Raw genomic sequence first — 17,485 nt, forward strand, 5'->3', positions numbered from 1 at the left:
TTGCTTATTTAATTCAGTTTTTCTTAAGTTCTCTAAGTCAATTAGAAGACTCATCTGTGAAGGTAAATACCAAGCACAGCTTTCTCATCCATTTTAAACTTTTTAATAAGGAGAAAAATATTAAAATTAAACATTGCCGTTAAGTACATATATGTGGGTGTGTGTTTGTGTGTGTACAGAGATGATGCATCTGGGTATATCTGGTGAGGAAAAACTTACCATTTGTTTTTCTTTCTAATGTAGTCTTTTTCAGAAAGATTAACCAAGTAGACCATTGGTTTTGAAGTCAAAAATAAGTGTTTATTCAACACTTCAATCTAAAGTGGGAGATGGAGAAAGAATCCCTTTTAAAAGTTTAGTAAATATGGAGTAAATCACTGAAGAATTTGAAAGTAAACATTCCTTAAAACAAGTAGGCATTTTCATTTTTATAATTCTTCTTTCCAAAAGATTAGTGGTTATGAAATATCATGAGTGGGGGAAAAGAAAAAAATAACAAGCCCAGGAATAAGCAATCACTGACAGAAATAAAAATTTAGATATAATGGTAAGTGTAAAATAACAACAACTCTAATTTGTTCCCTAGCAAATGAAAGCAAAGGCAGTAATAGATGGCATGATATTTACAACTTACCTCTTTGTCATTCCAATCATGATAGAAGCGAACAGGTTTCTTTTGATCTATAACCCAGGATTTTACTTTGCACATTATATCCTACACATGATTGAGAAAAAGGTAAATATATATGAATAACTAAACATTTAGATACTAAATATTAAAAAGTTTTCAAATTTTCAAAATAAAAATAGATTGTTTTAATGAAAGGGGGCTAGGTCACACAAATAATTATTTTCAATATCTCATTTAAAAACCAATTACTAATAAAACATTGTGGCATTAAATTTTTAATGTATAAAATGGACAATATTAGCAAAAATTAGTAACAGCCTGAAAAATGTCAAGACAATTCAATTACATCAAAGACTAATACAAGAGTTACTACCATTTCAATATTACCTAGTGATGCCATATAGAAGACAAACATGCTATTAGAAAATGGAGTGAGGGGATATACTGAAGAAAGACTAAATTATATTTTTCCCCTAAGAAGAAAAACAAACAAGACAAAATTGAGCCTATTATCGATGATCCAGCCTCCAAAATATTAAATCAACTGACCAGATCCCTTTTTATTTTAGATTAATTTTTTGCCAACACCTTCTCCCTGCCCACTTCTCCCGCAGCCGCACCCCCAATACCCCCAACTCCCCCACCCCCCGAACCTGCCAAAGCCTCCATTACACAATGGCAAGAGCCCTGCACTGGTGACCTCCAACCAGCTGCATTCACTTTCAGAACATCTCTCTCTGCTGGAAATCTAAAGGCCTTTTAGTTAGCAAGCTAGTGTGCATTCAGAAGGAGTAACTGCAGGAAGAGCCCAATGTGCTTTGTTTCTCTGGCCTTTCTTCACAGAAAGATTAATCATCTGTGAAATGGAAACGGCAAACAGCAAGTGACACAAACTGAACCCTTCAAGCCTTTCCTCATCAGTTTTGTGGTTCTGAATCTAAAAGCTGCGTGTGGCAAGGTTCTCCTTACAGGCAGGTGTTAATAAAAGGCTCTGGGGTCTGAAAGGTCAAATTTAGCTCTTCCAGAAGAAGTGCATTTGAGAGTCATCTGGGTGTCTGTTGTTGTTGTTACTAAAGATAATTTATGGATATGTTTTAAATATGCATTTCTCAAAATTTATTGTAACACAATTATTAGTAATCAATTTCCTGGATTTTTATCAATGTATTTTACTTTACCATAATCAGTTATTCTTCTTTAAATATCCATTTGTATAAATTATCTCAATATTTAGTATACCTTCCTTCCAAATTTTGCTGTTACCAACAGGAAAAATAAGGAAAAAGCCTTATATCCTTAGATCCTGATTTGAAACCCTCCAGGCAAAGGACTTCCCACAGATTTTAACAAGGAAGGGGCAAGCTGAAAACTTTTAATGAAATCTAACATGTTCGGCTTAAGAATAATCACTTTTACTCTTCTATAACTGAATTTCACTCATAAATGTTTAAAAGTGGCTAATGTAACACCATTTCCTACAAGGAGAAGATCAAAGTGCTATATTACAAATGCATTATGATTAAAAAAGCCCTGTGCAGCCTTGCTATTAACTGTTCTTTAAACCCTAAAAGGCTTCCCATAGATCTCACTTGGCACTGCATATACAACCTTTGACAAGTAATGTAGACCATTTTTATTCATTGCCTAAAATTGTAGGCAATTATGTGCGTCACACTGGCCACCTGCAAATTCTGAATGCCTGCTCTAGTTGTCAGTGCAAAAAACTAATGTCGGAGGGGATTAATCTAGGGGGAGAGAGTCCTCTTTAATGGCTCCAGCAGGTGAAATGGCCCAGCTGGTTACTATGATGAGTGGCCAGAACAGCTTATGTAGAGACACGCAACAAGATTATACAAAAGAAAGAAAAAACAGTCGTACCATCTTATATTTGGTTCCATTAGTTTTTTCAATTAAAGAAAGAAAACAGACAAAAGAAAGCCAAACAAAAAATAGGGGAAGAAATTAAATTTTAATCATATAAAAAGTATAAAATACTTCTGTAACTACAAACATTTTTACAAAACCTCAGAGCCTCAATAAGTGCTGATCACCAGTGAAGGAATTTCAGTATTTCTCTTTCATTTTAAATTAACTGGACCATTATTTCAGATATAGAAATCTTATCACAAAAGCATTTTGGCATTTGCTTTTTCTCACATTACAAATTACATTACAAATTAGAAGCACTCAAAAAATTTTTTGCAGTCAAGTTTTAATTAAATAGAATTCACTTATAATCAAAGTTCTTGAACAGCACAGTATTCCTTAAAGCCACATTCAAATATTTTTAGAGAAATTTATATATTATAACCTAGTTTTTGGACAGTTGAAATAAAAACATTTTGTACTCAGTGCTCTCTTAATTATTCCCACAAAAGATTTAACAGCCAAGAAAAGACAACTTAGATTTACTAAAAGATGTCAGTTTTATTTAAGACAAATCAAAAATAGATTGCTTTTCAGATAAGACTATCTTATATAAATGATCAGTATATGGTATAGTTTCAATGTGCTCTTTTTCTTACATAAAGTAAAAATTCTAATTTTAGCAAAAAATTAAAAGATGTTATATTCTTTATCGGAAAAACTTCTAAACAGATGAAAGAAAACATTTGGGCTTGTTTGGATATAATACTTATTGGTTGATTGAATTTATTTCCTTATGTTCATATATATAAATACATATATAAATAACGATGATTAGAACAATAAAAGGTTCCAGTTAACTGAGCTTGGTTAACTGGAAAAAAAAATTGAATACCCAATGCATTCAGAAGTTGCCTTAGGTTCCATATTTCTTTACTATCATTATATAGAAATGCAGATGTAGGGGTACTAAATTGGGCTGTTTTGGTAACTTTAACAAATCCCTCATTTTCAAAATAAATTCTGTACATTATAGAGATACATAAAAATTCCTGGTCATTTGAACTTTTCGGTTAGACTGCAGTTACATGAGTGGACTAATTCAAGAGGTAACAGTATAATGCTTAAGCATGGGAATAAATCCTAGCCACTTACCAGGTCTGTGACCTACTTCATTGATAAAATGCAGAGGATGAGATCTACCTCCTAGGGAGTGTTGTGAAGATTAAAAGAGATAGTGCATATAGTGTTTAGCACAGTTCTTGGCACAGAATGAATTCTCAATAAATGTGAGTAGTTGCCATTGTTGTTATGATTGCTGAAAGATTAAATCCCAGTGATCTACAAAATGGCAATATGTTCTCTTGGGTGCTCCTTTAAAGCATATGTATACTTTTTCATCTGTATAATTGTTCACTAGTCCTTTTCTTCAAATTTCTGAGTTTCTAAAAATACTGGCTTTTTTCATGAAATCTCAAGTCAGGCTTCTAATCTTAACATTCTGCAAGAACTAGCTTTTGCTAAATGACTATCTTTTAACTGCAAAGAAACTTAACCCAAACTCACCTTGAATACCTCACTCTTCTGCTTTGACTCTTCTTACTCAGAGCTTCACATTTAAAATTAGAAATGCTCTATTTTCTTGATATATTTTATTATTGTTATTGTTAACAGCAACTGTAATGTATTTAGACTCACAGCTTCATGTGTGACTTGCCTAAATTCCCATAGCTAGTAAGTGGCAGAGATGAGATTCAAATTCAGGTCTAAGTGACTTGAAGGTTCATGTTCTCTTCCATACCCTGGCATATTTGTCTTCCTTACTGCTTTTATAACTGTTCCTTGTTTAGCCTAGACATCCCCCAAGGTTGTTACCCAAAATCCTCATTCTCATTCAGGCTATCAGAGAAATTCAATATTCTTATTTTAATTATTTGGGTACAATAGCTGATCATTAATCCATGTATCACAAAAATAGTAATTTTTCTTTGCAGACAATTATATAATAATCCAGTCATTTATTATACATTCCTAAAATACTAGACTTCTCTATCTTGGTATCTTCAGTTCCCATAGCAGGAATTATTAACCTATGATCCATAAATAGATTGCAGGGGTTCCTTACCACCCTGAAACTGTACATAAAGTTCCGTTTATGTGCCTTTGAGGGAAGATGGCACATAACTTTCAAATGCTTTTCAAAGGGATCCATAATCCAAAAATCCAAGAACCATGGCTATTAGTGACTTTGATGGCAATACTCAAATGTCCCAACAACAGTTAATTAAGTAAATGTTCTAGGTCCAGGGACTCCCAGACCAGAGGTTGAGACACTGACCCAAAACATGCTTTAGCCAGACCCTGCACTGAAAATTTCTCTATCCTGTCCAATACTGCACTGATAAAAATTCCACCTTTTATAATGTTTATCTAACAAATTCCAGTTAAAATCATAATAGGGATGTTGGAGAATATTATATATTAAATATATCATTATTCTAAAAGAACTACTTGCTCGAGGGTAAAAAAATGTTTAGGGAGAAAAATATAGGACTTGTCCTACTAGATATTAAAATAAACCATAAAACTATAGTAATTAGAATAGTATGACACTGGCACAAGAAGACAGATATAGATTAGAAACAATCTAAAAAGCCAGGCATGGTGGCTCATGCTTGTAATCCCAGCATTTTGGGAGGCTGAGGCAGGAGGCTGGCTTGAGGCTAGGAGTTTGAGACCGTCTTGGGCAACATAGTGAGACCCCATCTCTACAAAAAATAAAAAAATAAAAAATTAACTGGGCGTGGTGGTGTGTGTCTGTAGTTCCAGCTACTCAAGAGGCTGAGGTTGAGGGGGGTATTGCTTGAGTCCAGTATGAGGCTGCAGCAAACTACGATCACGCCATGCACTCCAGCCTGGGTGACAGAGCGAGACCCTGTCTCCAAAAAAAAAATGAAAGAAATAAACATTTTTTTTTTAAATAAAATATAGGCTGGGCACAGTGGCTCATGCCTATAATCCTAGCACTTTGGGAAGCCAAGGCAGGTGGATCACCTGAGGTCAGGAGTTTGAGAACAGCTTGGCCAACATAGCGAAACCCCATCTCTACTAAAATAAATAAATAAATAAATTAGCTAGATGTGGTGACAGGCACCTGTAATCCCATCTACTCAGGAGGCTGAGGCAGTAGAATCACTTGAACCCGGGAAGTGGAGGTTGCAGTGAGCCGAGATTGCACCACTGCATTCCAGCCTGGGGGACAAGAGCAAAACTTGTCTCAAAAAAAAAAAAAATAAAATAAAATAAACAAAGAAAATCTAAAAAGCCATTAATTGGAGATTTGCTAATTAAGTTATGGGGCACTGATACAACAGAACACTTTGTAGTCATTAAGATGAGATATATCTATATGTACATTTGCATGGGAAAATGTCCAAAATATACTGCTAAGTGAGAACAGCAGGTTTAGAACAATGGAATATGGTTAAGAATATGGATTTTGGCCATATTCCTCAAGATCTGAGTTCAAGTCCTGGTTCTAACACTTTCTGGCTGAGTAATTTTGGGGAAGTTACCTAACCTCTCTCAGCTTGTTTCTGTGAAACTGTATAACTCCAATAAAATATGGTGATTGTGAAAATAAAACAAGAAAATACATGTAAAACAACTGGCAAGTTCTAGGCACACAGTAAATACTCAATAAATAATAATATTTATGGAGCTGGGCGCAGTGGCTCACGCCTGTAATCCCAGCACTTTGGGAGGCCGAGGCAGGCGGATCACGAGGTCAGGAGATCGATACCATCCTGGCTAACACAGTGAAACCCCGTCTCTACTAAAAATACAAAAAATTAGCCAGGTGTGGTGGCAGGTGCCTGTAGTCCCAGCTACTCGGGAGGCTGAGGCAGGAGAATGGTGTGAACCCGGGAGGCGGAGCTTGCAGTGAGCCAAGATGGTGCCACTGCACTCCAGCCTGGGCAACACAGCGAGACTCCGTCTCAATAAATAAATAAATAAATAAATAAATAAATAAATAAATAAATAATATTTATGGCAGAATGCATAATGTGATTCCATTTATGGTTTTGAAACTATATATAATATATATAAATAGACATACTCAAATAATGAAACTGGTTAGATAACACACTAAATAATTAGCAATAGAAATCTCTAGAAGGTTAGATGCCAGACAGCTTTTCCCTTTCTGCCTTCTTTTTAAAACTACAACATTTTAAAAAATTTTAACCAACAAATATCACTGTTATAATAGGAAAAAAATAAAGGTATATTCACAGGGTAAGGGGAGAGGGGAAACTTCATCTATTCTCTGTCCACCATCTGTAATCCTAAAATTTGATGGCTAAATGGATAGACTTGGTGGTTTATCAGGGTGACTCACTCTTATTCTGTAATAATTATAACTTCCAAGTTATACTTACCTTCAGGAAAACCTGTCACCACAATTCTAATGCTGATATCCAGATGAACTGACTTATGCTGGTTAGGTAGCTTTAACAAAGACAGCCAACAATGCACTCAGACTACAAGAATTAGGGCAAGGCTTCCGGTTCAAAACAGTCGCTAGAAGTCCACTAATACAGCATCCTCCAACTATTCCCTTTAAACACCCGAAATTGAAGAAAAAAAATCAAACTAAGCTTTCTCTTATAAAATAGACCTCCACTGTGTATTCTACTAATGATGTTTGGGATCTCTCTGAATCACAGTATTAAGCATTTGTTGCTCTACTAGATAAATGCTGCTATTTATGGAGGCAGGAGTACTGATCCCTGGACAACATCTTTCTATATACCTGAATGACTGAAACTCCCAGAAAAGGATTGGGCAATAATGAATGGAACTAGCAGTAATGCTCTACATGACTATGCGTGTATGGGGGTGAGGGGAACCCCCCAAGAATTAACACAATAGGCTAATTCTAGCAATAACCTTGGTAGAATACATGCTGCCAATTGTAGGCTTTCAGTTATATGATTCACTGAAGTAGATAGTAAGACCACCCCCAGAATATAATGTTCCTGGCCCCTGTCTGCAATAAAGTGGCAACCAAAATGGACACCAATTTACTTCTGAGGCATAGATCTCAGCAAAGGATCTGGCTATTAGTAAAGAGAAGAAGGCAACTGTCCCTATGATTCCTGAAAATAAGTTTGAATGCATTTTACCATGTTTGAGGAAGGGTCTGGAAGTTGTGGGGAAGCCAACAAATCTGATTTTAATAAAAGGAATACTGATAATTTATGGAAAGTAGAGTCATAGAAAAAACACATCTTTAAAAATGACTGAGAAACAAAAAAACCTCAATGAATTATTTGTCATACTTAGTAGAATGCAAAAAGATAAGAGCATCTACACAATAGGAGCAGATGAACTGACTTATGCTGGTTAGGAAGCTTTAACAAAGACAGCCAACAATGCACTCGAGGTCACAAAAAGAGAACAGTGAGGTTAGAAAAAAATGGATGAGATATATCTAGAGAGTTGATAAAAGTACAAATATTTTTAATGAAACCAAAATCAAAGTAGGAAAATAAATACATTCAGTATAACATATCTAAGTGCCCAAATGAACTACCAGAGAATGAACACGTCTGTAATTACCACCCTGATCAACATATAGAAGATTATTAGTAGTACAGTTACAATGTTCCACTCCTCTTCAGAGATAATCACTACTTCTGGCTTCTTTGCATCACAAATTAGCCTGTTATTGAAACTTATAGAAATAATCACACAATATATATTACTTTGCGTCTGGCTTCTTCTGCTCAATATTATTTGTGAATTCATCCATGTCATTCCATGTAGCAGTATTGTGTTTTTCTCTGTGGTATAATATTTCACTGTAGGAATAGTGCACAATTTATACATTCTACTGTTAATGGACATCTAGGCTGTTTACACTTTAAGGCTATTAGGAATAAAGTTGCTATAAACATTCTTGTACATATATTTTGGTAAATTTGTGCATGCATTTCTCTTGAGTATATACCTAAGACTGGAATTGCTTGGTTGTAGGTCAGGTATTTATCCAAACTTCATACATATTGCTAATAAATTTTCAAAAGCAGATGTACTAATTTATACTCCCATCAGCACTGTATGACAATTTCATTTGCTTCACATTCTTCCCAACACTTGGTATTGTCAGTCTTATTAATTTATGGCAAGTGTATGGTATCTCACCGTAGTCTGAATTTGCATTTCTGTGGTGATTAATGAGGAATTTCTTCTTTTGTGAAGTACTTGTGAAGTCTCTGCATATTTTTCTATCAGGCTGTCTTTTTCTTATTTATTTGTAGGAATTCTTTGTTAGATGCTGCAAATATCTTCTTTCTCTGAGGAATGGCCTTTTATGTTCATGAAAGAGATTCACCTATAATTTTTCTCTCTTACATTGTAAGATTTTGGTATCAGGACTATTCTGACCTCACACAAGTTTTTCCTCTTTTTCTACTGTATGGAAGAGTGTGATTGAGACTTTACATGTATAGTAAAGTCATCTGGGTCAGGACATTTCTTTATAGTAAGGTTTAAAATTATGAGTTCGATTTCTTTGATAGATATAAGACTATTTACATTTTTTATTTCTTTTTACACTCATTTTCTTAAGCAGTCTTTTAAATTTGCCCATCTCATATATTTTTCAAATTCATTGCCATAAGTTGCTTATAATATCCTCTTAGTAGCCTATTGATGTCTACAGAATCTACAGTAACACATTTTCGTTCATAATGCTAGTTTCGCTTTTCTTTTTCCCCGTTCACTAGTCTTGCTAAGAATTTATATTTTACTAGTGTTTTCAAACGACGAACTTTTGGCCTTTTTGATCCTTTTTATTACATGCTTCTTTCCTATTTCATTAATATTTACTTTCATCTTAATTGTTTCCCTTTATCTAATTTCTCTGGGTTCCTTTTATTGTTCTTTTTCTAACTCCTTCATAAGAATACTTTCAGATCACTGATTTCACCTTTCCTTATTTTGAGACATATACATTTATGACTAAATGTATAGAACTTGAGTTTATACATTAGAAAACAACAAATTTGGTATATTGCATGTTTATTATCATAAACTATTTTCTTTCCATAGTGATTTCTTCTTTGAAACATGACATCTTTTAGAATTATACTGCTTAACTTCCAGACATTTAGACAATTTCTAGTAATCTTCCCATTATTGACTGCTAAGTTTAATTCCATAGTGTTCAGGTAATATATTCTTTATGACTTCAATAATTTGAAATTTGTTTAATTGTTTTATGGCCAATGAAATGGTCAATTTTGGTAAATGTTCCATTTGTACTTGAAAAGAATGTACATTCTACTGTTGTTGGGTGTGGTATCCTATATATGTCAATTAGGTCAAATTCCTTGAGTTGTTTAACTCTTCTATATTCTTTACTAAAATTCTGTCTGCTTATTCTATCAATTACTAAAAGTATTAAGATTTTCTTTTAGTACTACAGTTTTTGTTTTGTTTTGTCTTTCAATCCTGCCACTTTTTGCACTATGTGTTTTGAGGTTATATTATTATGCATATACAAACTTAAGTTATTGTGCCTCCTAGTATACTGAACATTTGGCATTATGAAATGCCACTTTTAACTCCTTTAAAGTCTACTTTGATATCGTATACTACACTAACTTTTTTGTTGTTGTTAGGGCTTGCACAGTGTATATTTCTCCATTCTTTGCTTTCAACTTTTCTGCATCTTCAACTTACAATGGTTCGTTCGATTTAAGATTTTTTACTTTACTGGGACATAACCGCATTGTACGTCAAGGAGAATTTGGACCTATGATGGTTTAGCTTATGACTTCTGGGTTTTATGATGGGTTTACTGGGTTATTAGTGCTTTTTGTTTTGACATACAATATTTTCTTTTCTTTCTGAGACACAGACTCACTCTCTCACCCAGGCTGGAGTGCAGTGGCGCAACCTCGACTCACTGCAACCTCCGCCTCTCAGGTTCAAGCCATTCTCGTGCTTCGGCCTTCCAAGTAGCTGGGATTACAGGCATGTGCCAGAATGCCCAACTGATTTTTGTATTTTTAGTAGAGACAGGGTTATGCCATGTTGTTTTCTTGGCCTCAAGCAATCCACCCCCTCAGCCTCCCAAAGTACTGGGATTACAGGCGTGAGCCACTGCACCAGGCTGACATACAATACTTTCAACTTATGGTGTAACCCCAACGTAAGTCCAGGAGCATCTGTATTTAAGGTGTGTTTCTTGTAAGCAGCAGAGAGGTGGACTTTTCAAATCCAATCTGACATTCTTTGTCTTTTTTAATTTTTAAAAAAATTACATAAAATTAGCCATCTGAACATAATCTAGTACTAAAGCATTTCATGCACTCACAATGTTATACAAACCACCTCTATCTAGATCCAAAACATTTCCATCACTCCAAAATAAAGCAATGTATTCATTAAGCAGTTTCTACCCATTATTCCTCCCCCTAGTCTCTGACAACCACCAATATGCAGTTCTGTCTCTATGGATTTGCCTATTCTGAACACTTCATATATATGGAATCATTCACGATGTGACCTTTTGTGCCTGGCTTCTTTCACATGGCATAATGTTTTTGAGGCTCATGCACATTGTAGTATCAGTACTTCATTCCTTTTTGGCTATTATGAATATTGCCACTATGAACATACATGCACATATATTGTTTGAGTAACTGTGTTGGGTATATACACAGAAGTAGAATTGCTAGTTCATATGGTAAGTCTATAATTAACTTTTAGAGAAACTGTCAAACTCATTTTTTTTCTTTCCCCAGAGAAAGTAAATTTCGTTGAAGTTTTATTTTTAACTGACACATAATAACTGTATATGTTTATGGGACACAGTGTGATGTTTTGATAGACGTACACTTTGTGTAATTATAAATCTGGGTATTAAGCATATTCATCACCTCATACATTCATCATTACTTTGTAGTAAGAACATTCTTCTAGTTATTCTGAAATATAATCTTTGTCTTTTATTGCAGTATTATAACATTTTTACTCCACTACCCTCTCTTGCCCTTTCTGTATTATTGTCATGTATTTTAACTGAACTCTATACATTAAAACATGTTATCATTATTGTTTTGTTTTTACTTTTTATTTTGAAAACATTTTAAACTTACAGATAAGCTGTAAGAATAATAAAGGCACAAAGTTCCAGTATGAAATGATGAAAAAGTTCTGAAAACATATAGGGGTAATGGTTGTACAATATTATAAATGTACTTAATGCTAGTGAATTGTATACTTAAAATGGTTAATGGTATATTTTATGTTATGTATAGTTTACCACAATAAAAAAGTTGTTTTTAAGGAACAAGAAACTTTTGCTTTAGGCTATGTCTTGAAGAATGCCTAAGACATGGGAATGGGGCCGGGCGTGGTGGCTCATGCCTGTAATCCCAGCCCTTTGGGAGGCTGAGGCCGGCGGATCACAAGGTCAGGAGATGGAGACCATCCTGGCTAACATGGTGAAACCCCTACTCTACTAAAAATACAAAAATTAGCCAGGCATGGTGGCGGGCGCCTGTAGTCCCAGCTACTCAGGAGGCTGAGGCAGGAGACTGGCATGAACCCGGGAGGTAGAGTTAGCAGTGAGCCAAGATCGTGCCACTGCACTCCAGCCTGGGCGACAGAGCAAGACTCCGCCTCCAAAAAAAAAAAAAAAAAAAGAAATGGGAATGGAAGAGCACCAAACAGGTAAAGTTCTGGTAAATGACCTCATGTAAAATCAGTACGTTTAAAGTCCTACGTTCACTGTCAGGAGAGTTGAGAAAAAAGTAATGGTAAGCCAGGCAAACCCAAATCACAAAGAACTTTGTGAGCCATGGCCTTTATGTTGGCACTATCCCATAGGAAATAGGTAATTTAATCAAGGGAATAACATGATTAGTTCTTCATTTTGTATTTGTGGAAAACAAGAGCAAGCTACAGACAAAAAGATCAGTTAAACTGCAAAAATAAATTAAGCATAAGTGAGGCTCAAACCAAAGAAGTAGTAATAAAAGCAGGAGGAAGAAAGAGGTATGGGGAATATTCAAGAGATAAAATCAACAGGATGAGATGTAGATGGTGCAAAAGAGGAAGGAGTCACAGATACAGCTTTTCTGTTAAACAATTTGGTTCCACTAACTAGAGATTATGAGGACTGAGAGTTCAGCCTTACCAAAAATTAGTATCACGTTCTTTTAGAAATGATCTCTTTAAGTCATATATGAATAGACCTGAAAGGACACACAACAGTCTAAAGAGAAGAAAGAGGTAAATGTGAAGATAAAAGGAGGAAGAATATATTTTTACAGTACAACCATACCTCAGAGATACTGCAGGTTTAGTTCCAATAAAGTGAGTATCGCTATAAAGCAAGTAAAAGTAAGTGCAATAAAGTGAGTATCGCTATAAAGCAAGTCACACAAATTTTTGTTTCCTAGTAAGCATGAGTTATGCTTAAACTATATTGTAGTCTATTAAGCGTACAATAGCATGTCTACAAAAACAATGTATAAACCTTAATTTAAAAATATTTTTACTAAAAAATGCTAATGATCATCTCTGCTGTCAGTGAGTTGTAATCTTTTTGCTGGTGGAGGGTCGTGCCTTAATGTTGATGGCTGCTGACTAATCAGGGTAGTGGTTGCTGAAGGTTGGGTGGCTGTGACAATTTCTTAAAATATGAAAACAACGAAGTTTGCCATATCAATCAACTCTTCCTTTCACAAAAAAATTTCCCTGTGACATGCAGTGCTATTTCATAGCATTTTACCCACATTTCAACTTCTCTCAAAACTGAAGCCAATCCTCTCAAACCCCGCCACTGCCTTACCAACTAAGTGTATGTGATATTCTAAATCCTTTGTTGTCATTTCAACAATATTCACAGCATCTTCACCAGCAGTAGATTCCATCTCAAGAAACCACTTTCTTTGCTCACCCATAACAGGCAACTTCTCATCCATTCAAGTTTTATCATGAGATTACAGCAGTTCCATCATGTCTTCAGGTTCCACATCTACATCTAGTTCTCTTGCTGTTTCCACCACATCTGCAGTTACTTCCTCCACTGAAGTCTTGAGCCTCTCAAAGTCATCCATGTGGGTTTGGAATCAACTCATCCCAAACCCCTATTAATGTTGATGTTTTGACCTCTCATGAATCATGAATATTCTTTTTTTTTTTTTTTCCTGAGACGAGTCTTGGTCTGTAACCCAGGCTGTAGTGCAGTGGTGTGATCTTGGTTCACTGCAACCTCAGCCTCCCAGGTTCAAGCAATTCTCCTGCCTCAGCCTCTCGAGTAGCTAGGATTACAGGCACATGCTGCCACGCCTGGTTAATTTTTTTTTTGTATTTTCAGTAGAGACAGGGTTTCACCATGTTGGCCAGGCTGGTCTTGAACTCCTGACCTCGTGATCTACCCTCCTTGGCCTCCCAAAGTGCTGGGATTATAGGCGTGAGCCACCACGCCCGGCCATGAAAATTCATCTAGAATGGTGAATCCCTTCCAAAAGGTTTTCAATTTATTATGCCCAGATCCATCAGATAAATCACTACCTATGATAGTTACAGTCTTATGAAATGTATTTCTTAAATAATAAGATAGGAACATCAAAATTATTCCTTGATCTATGGGTTGCAGAATGGATGTTGTCTTAGCAGGCATGAAAACAACATTAACCTCCTAGCACATCTCCATCAGAGCTCTGGAATGATCAGGTACTTTGTCAATGAGCAGTAGGTCTCAATGAAAGGAATTGTTTTTTCTGAGCAGTAGGTCTCAAGAGTGGGCTTAAAATATTCAGTGAACCATGCTGTAAACAGATGTGCTGTCATCCAGGTTTCGTTGTTCCACTTATATAGCACAGGCAGAATAGATTTAGTATAACTCGCAAAGGCTCTAGGATTTTCAGAATGGTAATAAGCATTGGTTTCAACTTAAAGTCACCAACCGCATTAGCCCTTAACAAGGGAGTCAGCATATCCTTTGAAGCCAGGCATTGACTTCTCTTCTCAAGCAATTAAAGTCCTAGATGGCCTCTTCTTCCAAGGCTGTTTTGTTGACATTGAACATCTGTTGTTTTCATTGTCTTCATCAATGATCTTAGTTAGACCTTCTGGAGAACTTGCTGCAGCTTCTACATTAGCACTTGCTGCTTCACCTTGCAGTTTTATGTTAGGGCTATGGCTTCTTTTCTTAAACCACATGAAACAACCTCTGTAAGCTTCCAACTTTTCTTCTGCAGCTTCCTCACCTCTCTCAGTTTTCTAACTCTAGAATTAAAGAGAGTTAGGACCTTGCTCTGGAATAGTCCTTCGCTTAAGGGAATATTGTGGATAGTTTGATCTTCTATCAAGAACGCTAAAACTTTCTCCATATTAGTCAGGCATGGTGGTACACACCTATAATCCCAGCTACTTGGGAGGCTGAGGCAAGAGGATCACTTAAGCCCAGGGGTTTGGAACCAGCCTGGGCAACACAGTGAGACACCATGTCAAAACAAAACAAAACAAAAAATCCCTTTCTCCCTATCAGCAATAAAGCTGTTTTGCTTTCTTCTCATTCGTGTGTTCTCTGGAGGAGCACTTTTAATTTCCTTCAAGAACTTTTCCTTTGCATTCACAACTTGGCTAACGTGGTGCAAAAGACCTGGCTTTCAGCCTATCTTAGCTGTCAACATGCCTTCCTCACTAAGCTTAATCATTTCTAGCTTTTGATTTAAAATGAGAGATGTGACTCTTCCTTTCACTTGAACACTTAGAAGCCATCGTAGGGGTATTATTAATATTTGGCCCAATTTCAATGTTGTGTCTCAGGGAACACAGACAACCCGGGAGAGGGAGAAAGATGGGAAATGGCCAGTAGGTGGAGCAATCAGAGCACACCCAACATTTATCGACTAAGTTTGCTGTCTTCTATGTGCATCGTTCATGGCTCCCTAAAGCAGTTATAACAGGAACATCAAAGATCACCAGTCAAAGACCACTTTAACAGATACAATAATAACAAAAAGGTTTGAAACCTTGTAAGAATTACCAAAATGTGACACAGAGACACAAAGGGAGCACATGCTGTTGGAAAAATGGCATTGAGTTTCTCAACACAGCGTTGCCACAAACCTTCGATTTGTAAAACAACAACAAAAACCCCCAAAACCCACAATATCTGTGGAACCGAATAAAGTGAAGGTCAATAAAATGAAGTATGCCTGTATGCTACTCTGAATCTTTCAATGTTCGTTAAAAACAAATAGCTTAAATATTTCAAAAGTTATGTTAATACCAGTTTTAAAAATTGCCTTAAGAATATAATAAGAAATCTGCTAACAGCTACATATTACTGAGGACATTAATTTTTTACTCAGATGTTTTCAGAAAAAAAGACTCAATTATAATTTCTGGTAGTCTTTAGTTCTTCAATTAGCTAATTATTAGTTCTATGAATATTTTCTAAGTATAATGCTTTCCAAATAATCGATACAAAATAAATTGTTCCTTAAGCCCTCCTAACTTCATTTTTCAAATTTCATTTTTCCAAATGGGATGTACATACACTTAAATAGATTTAAAATTAACCTTGATCTTGATGACTTGGTATTATAGATTGAATCCCATCCCTGATACTCAGAAAGTGAACTTATTTGGGAATTAATTAAGATGAAGCCATACTTAGAGGAAGGTGGGCCTTTAAGCCAATATTACTTGTGTCCTTATAAGAAGAGAGAAATTTGGACAGAGACACACAGGAAAGGTGGCCATGTGAAGACTAAGGCAGAGATTGGAGTTCTGCTGTCACAAGGCAAGGGACACCTGGAGCTACCAGAAGCTAGAACTTCTCCCCCAGAGAGGCTTCAGAGAGAGCATGGCCCTGCCAACACCCTGACTTCAGACTTCTCATCCTCCAGAACCGGGAAAGAAGACATTGTTGTTTAAAGTCATCCTGTTCATGGTGCTTGTTACAGCAACCCTAGGAAACAAACACACTTGGCTGATACCAAGAGAAAATGCTTATCCCACTCCTGCCTTCTTTATTTAGTGCCTGGGTTTTACTTCAGACAGCAAGACTCACTATAGAAGGTGTATCTTGGCCGGGCACAGTGGCTCACGCCTGTAATTCCAGCACTTCGGGAGGCCGAGGTGGGTGGATCACGAGGTCAGGGGTTTGACACCAGCCTGGCCAATACAATGAAACCCCGTCTCTACTAAAAATACAAAAATTAGCCGGGTGTGGTGGCATGCACCTGTAGTCCCAGCCACTCAGGAGGCTGAGGCAGAAGAATCACTTCAACCAGGGAGGCGGAGGTTGCAGTGAGCCGAGATAGTGCCACTGAACTCCAGCCTGGGCAACAGAGTGAGACTCAGTCTCAAAAAAAAAAAAAAAAGAAAGAAAGAAAGAAAAAAAAAAGGTATATCTTATGTCAGAGTATATCTACCTTGCTCTCAGGAAAAACTCTTCTTTAACATTAAAAAGTCAGCTCATGTTTCATGCTAGAGTATATTTAACCTAAGTCTTTCACGCTTATTGACATAAAAATACAAATGGCATCCAAATCTAGAAACTGGAAACTTAATAGGAAAAGAGGTTTGAATGTTGAATTTCTGAAAGATTACCCAGAAAATAAAGATACATTTAAATGAACAGGAAGAATCAACAACATTAAAGAAGAATAGGTAAATACCTGGTAAACAAAATGACCTGCCTATCTTTCTCATAAATTTCAAGTAGCTATCTCTTTTATATCCATCACATTTTTGTACCTTTAGACCATTTGCTAGAGAACTTAAGAAATATATTTCTAAAAGAAACTTCCCTACAGTAACTAGTTGATATCATAATCATATAGTTATCCCTTTTCTTTTCTTTTTCTTTCTTTTTTTTTTTTAATTGAGACCGAGTCTCACTCTGTCGCCCAGCCTGGAGTGCAGTGGCATGATCTGGGCTCACTG

General features: G+C 36.0%; 1 protein-coding gene across 3 annotated transcripts in view, besides 1 other annotated feature; it reads right to left on the minus strand.

Annotated features, from left to right (window-relative positions):
* The window catches only part of OLA1 (Obg like ATPase 1), a 176,086-nt gene that overhangs the window by 50,514 nt on the left and 108,087 nt on the right, over positions 1 to 17,485 (minus strand). For all 3 annotated transcript variants that reach the window (NM_001011708.3, NM_001328688.2, NM_013341.5), the window contains 2 exons: positions 635 to 715; positions 220 to 317 (listed from right to left, as the gene is read on the minus strand). In NM_001011708.3, coding sequence (NP_001011708.1) covers positions 220 to 317; positions 635 to 715 — 179 coding nt within the window. The remainder of the gene's footprint in view (positions 1 to 219; positions 318 to 634; positions 716 to 17,485) is intronic.
* Positions 1,049 to 2,675: an enhancer, noted in NCBI's record as "VISTA enhancer hs244". NCBI's record gives its function as "enhancer in: forebrain[11/14]" and the evidence as "EXISTENCE:transgenic organism evidence [ECO:0001131][PMID:17130149]".

Source organism: Homo sapiens, chromosome 2 (genome assembly GCF_000001405.40).
Source record: "Homo sapiens chromosome 2, GRCh38.p14 Primary Assembly".
NCBI lineage: Eukaryota > Metazoa > Chordata > Mammalia > Primates > Hominidae > Homo > Homo sapiens.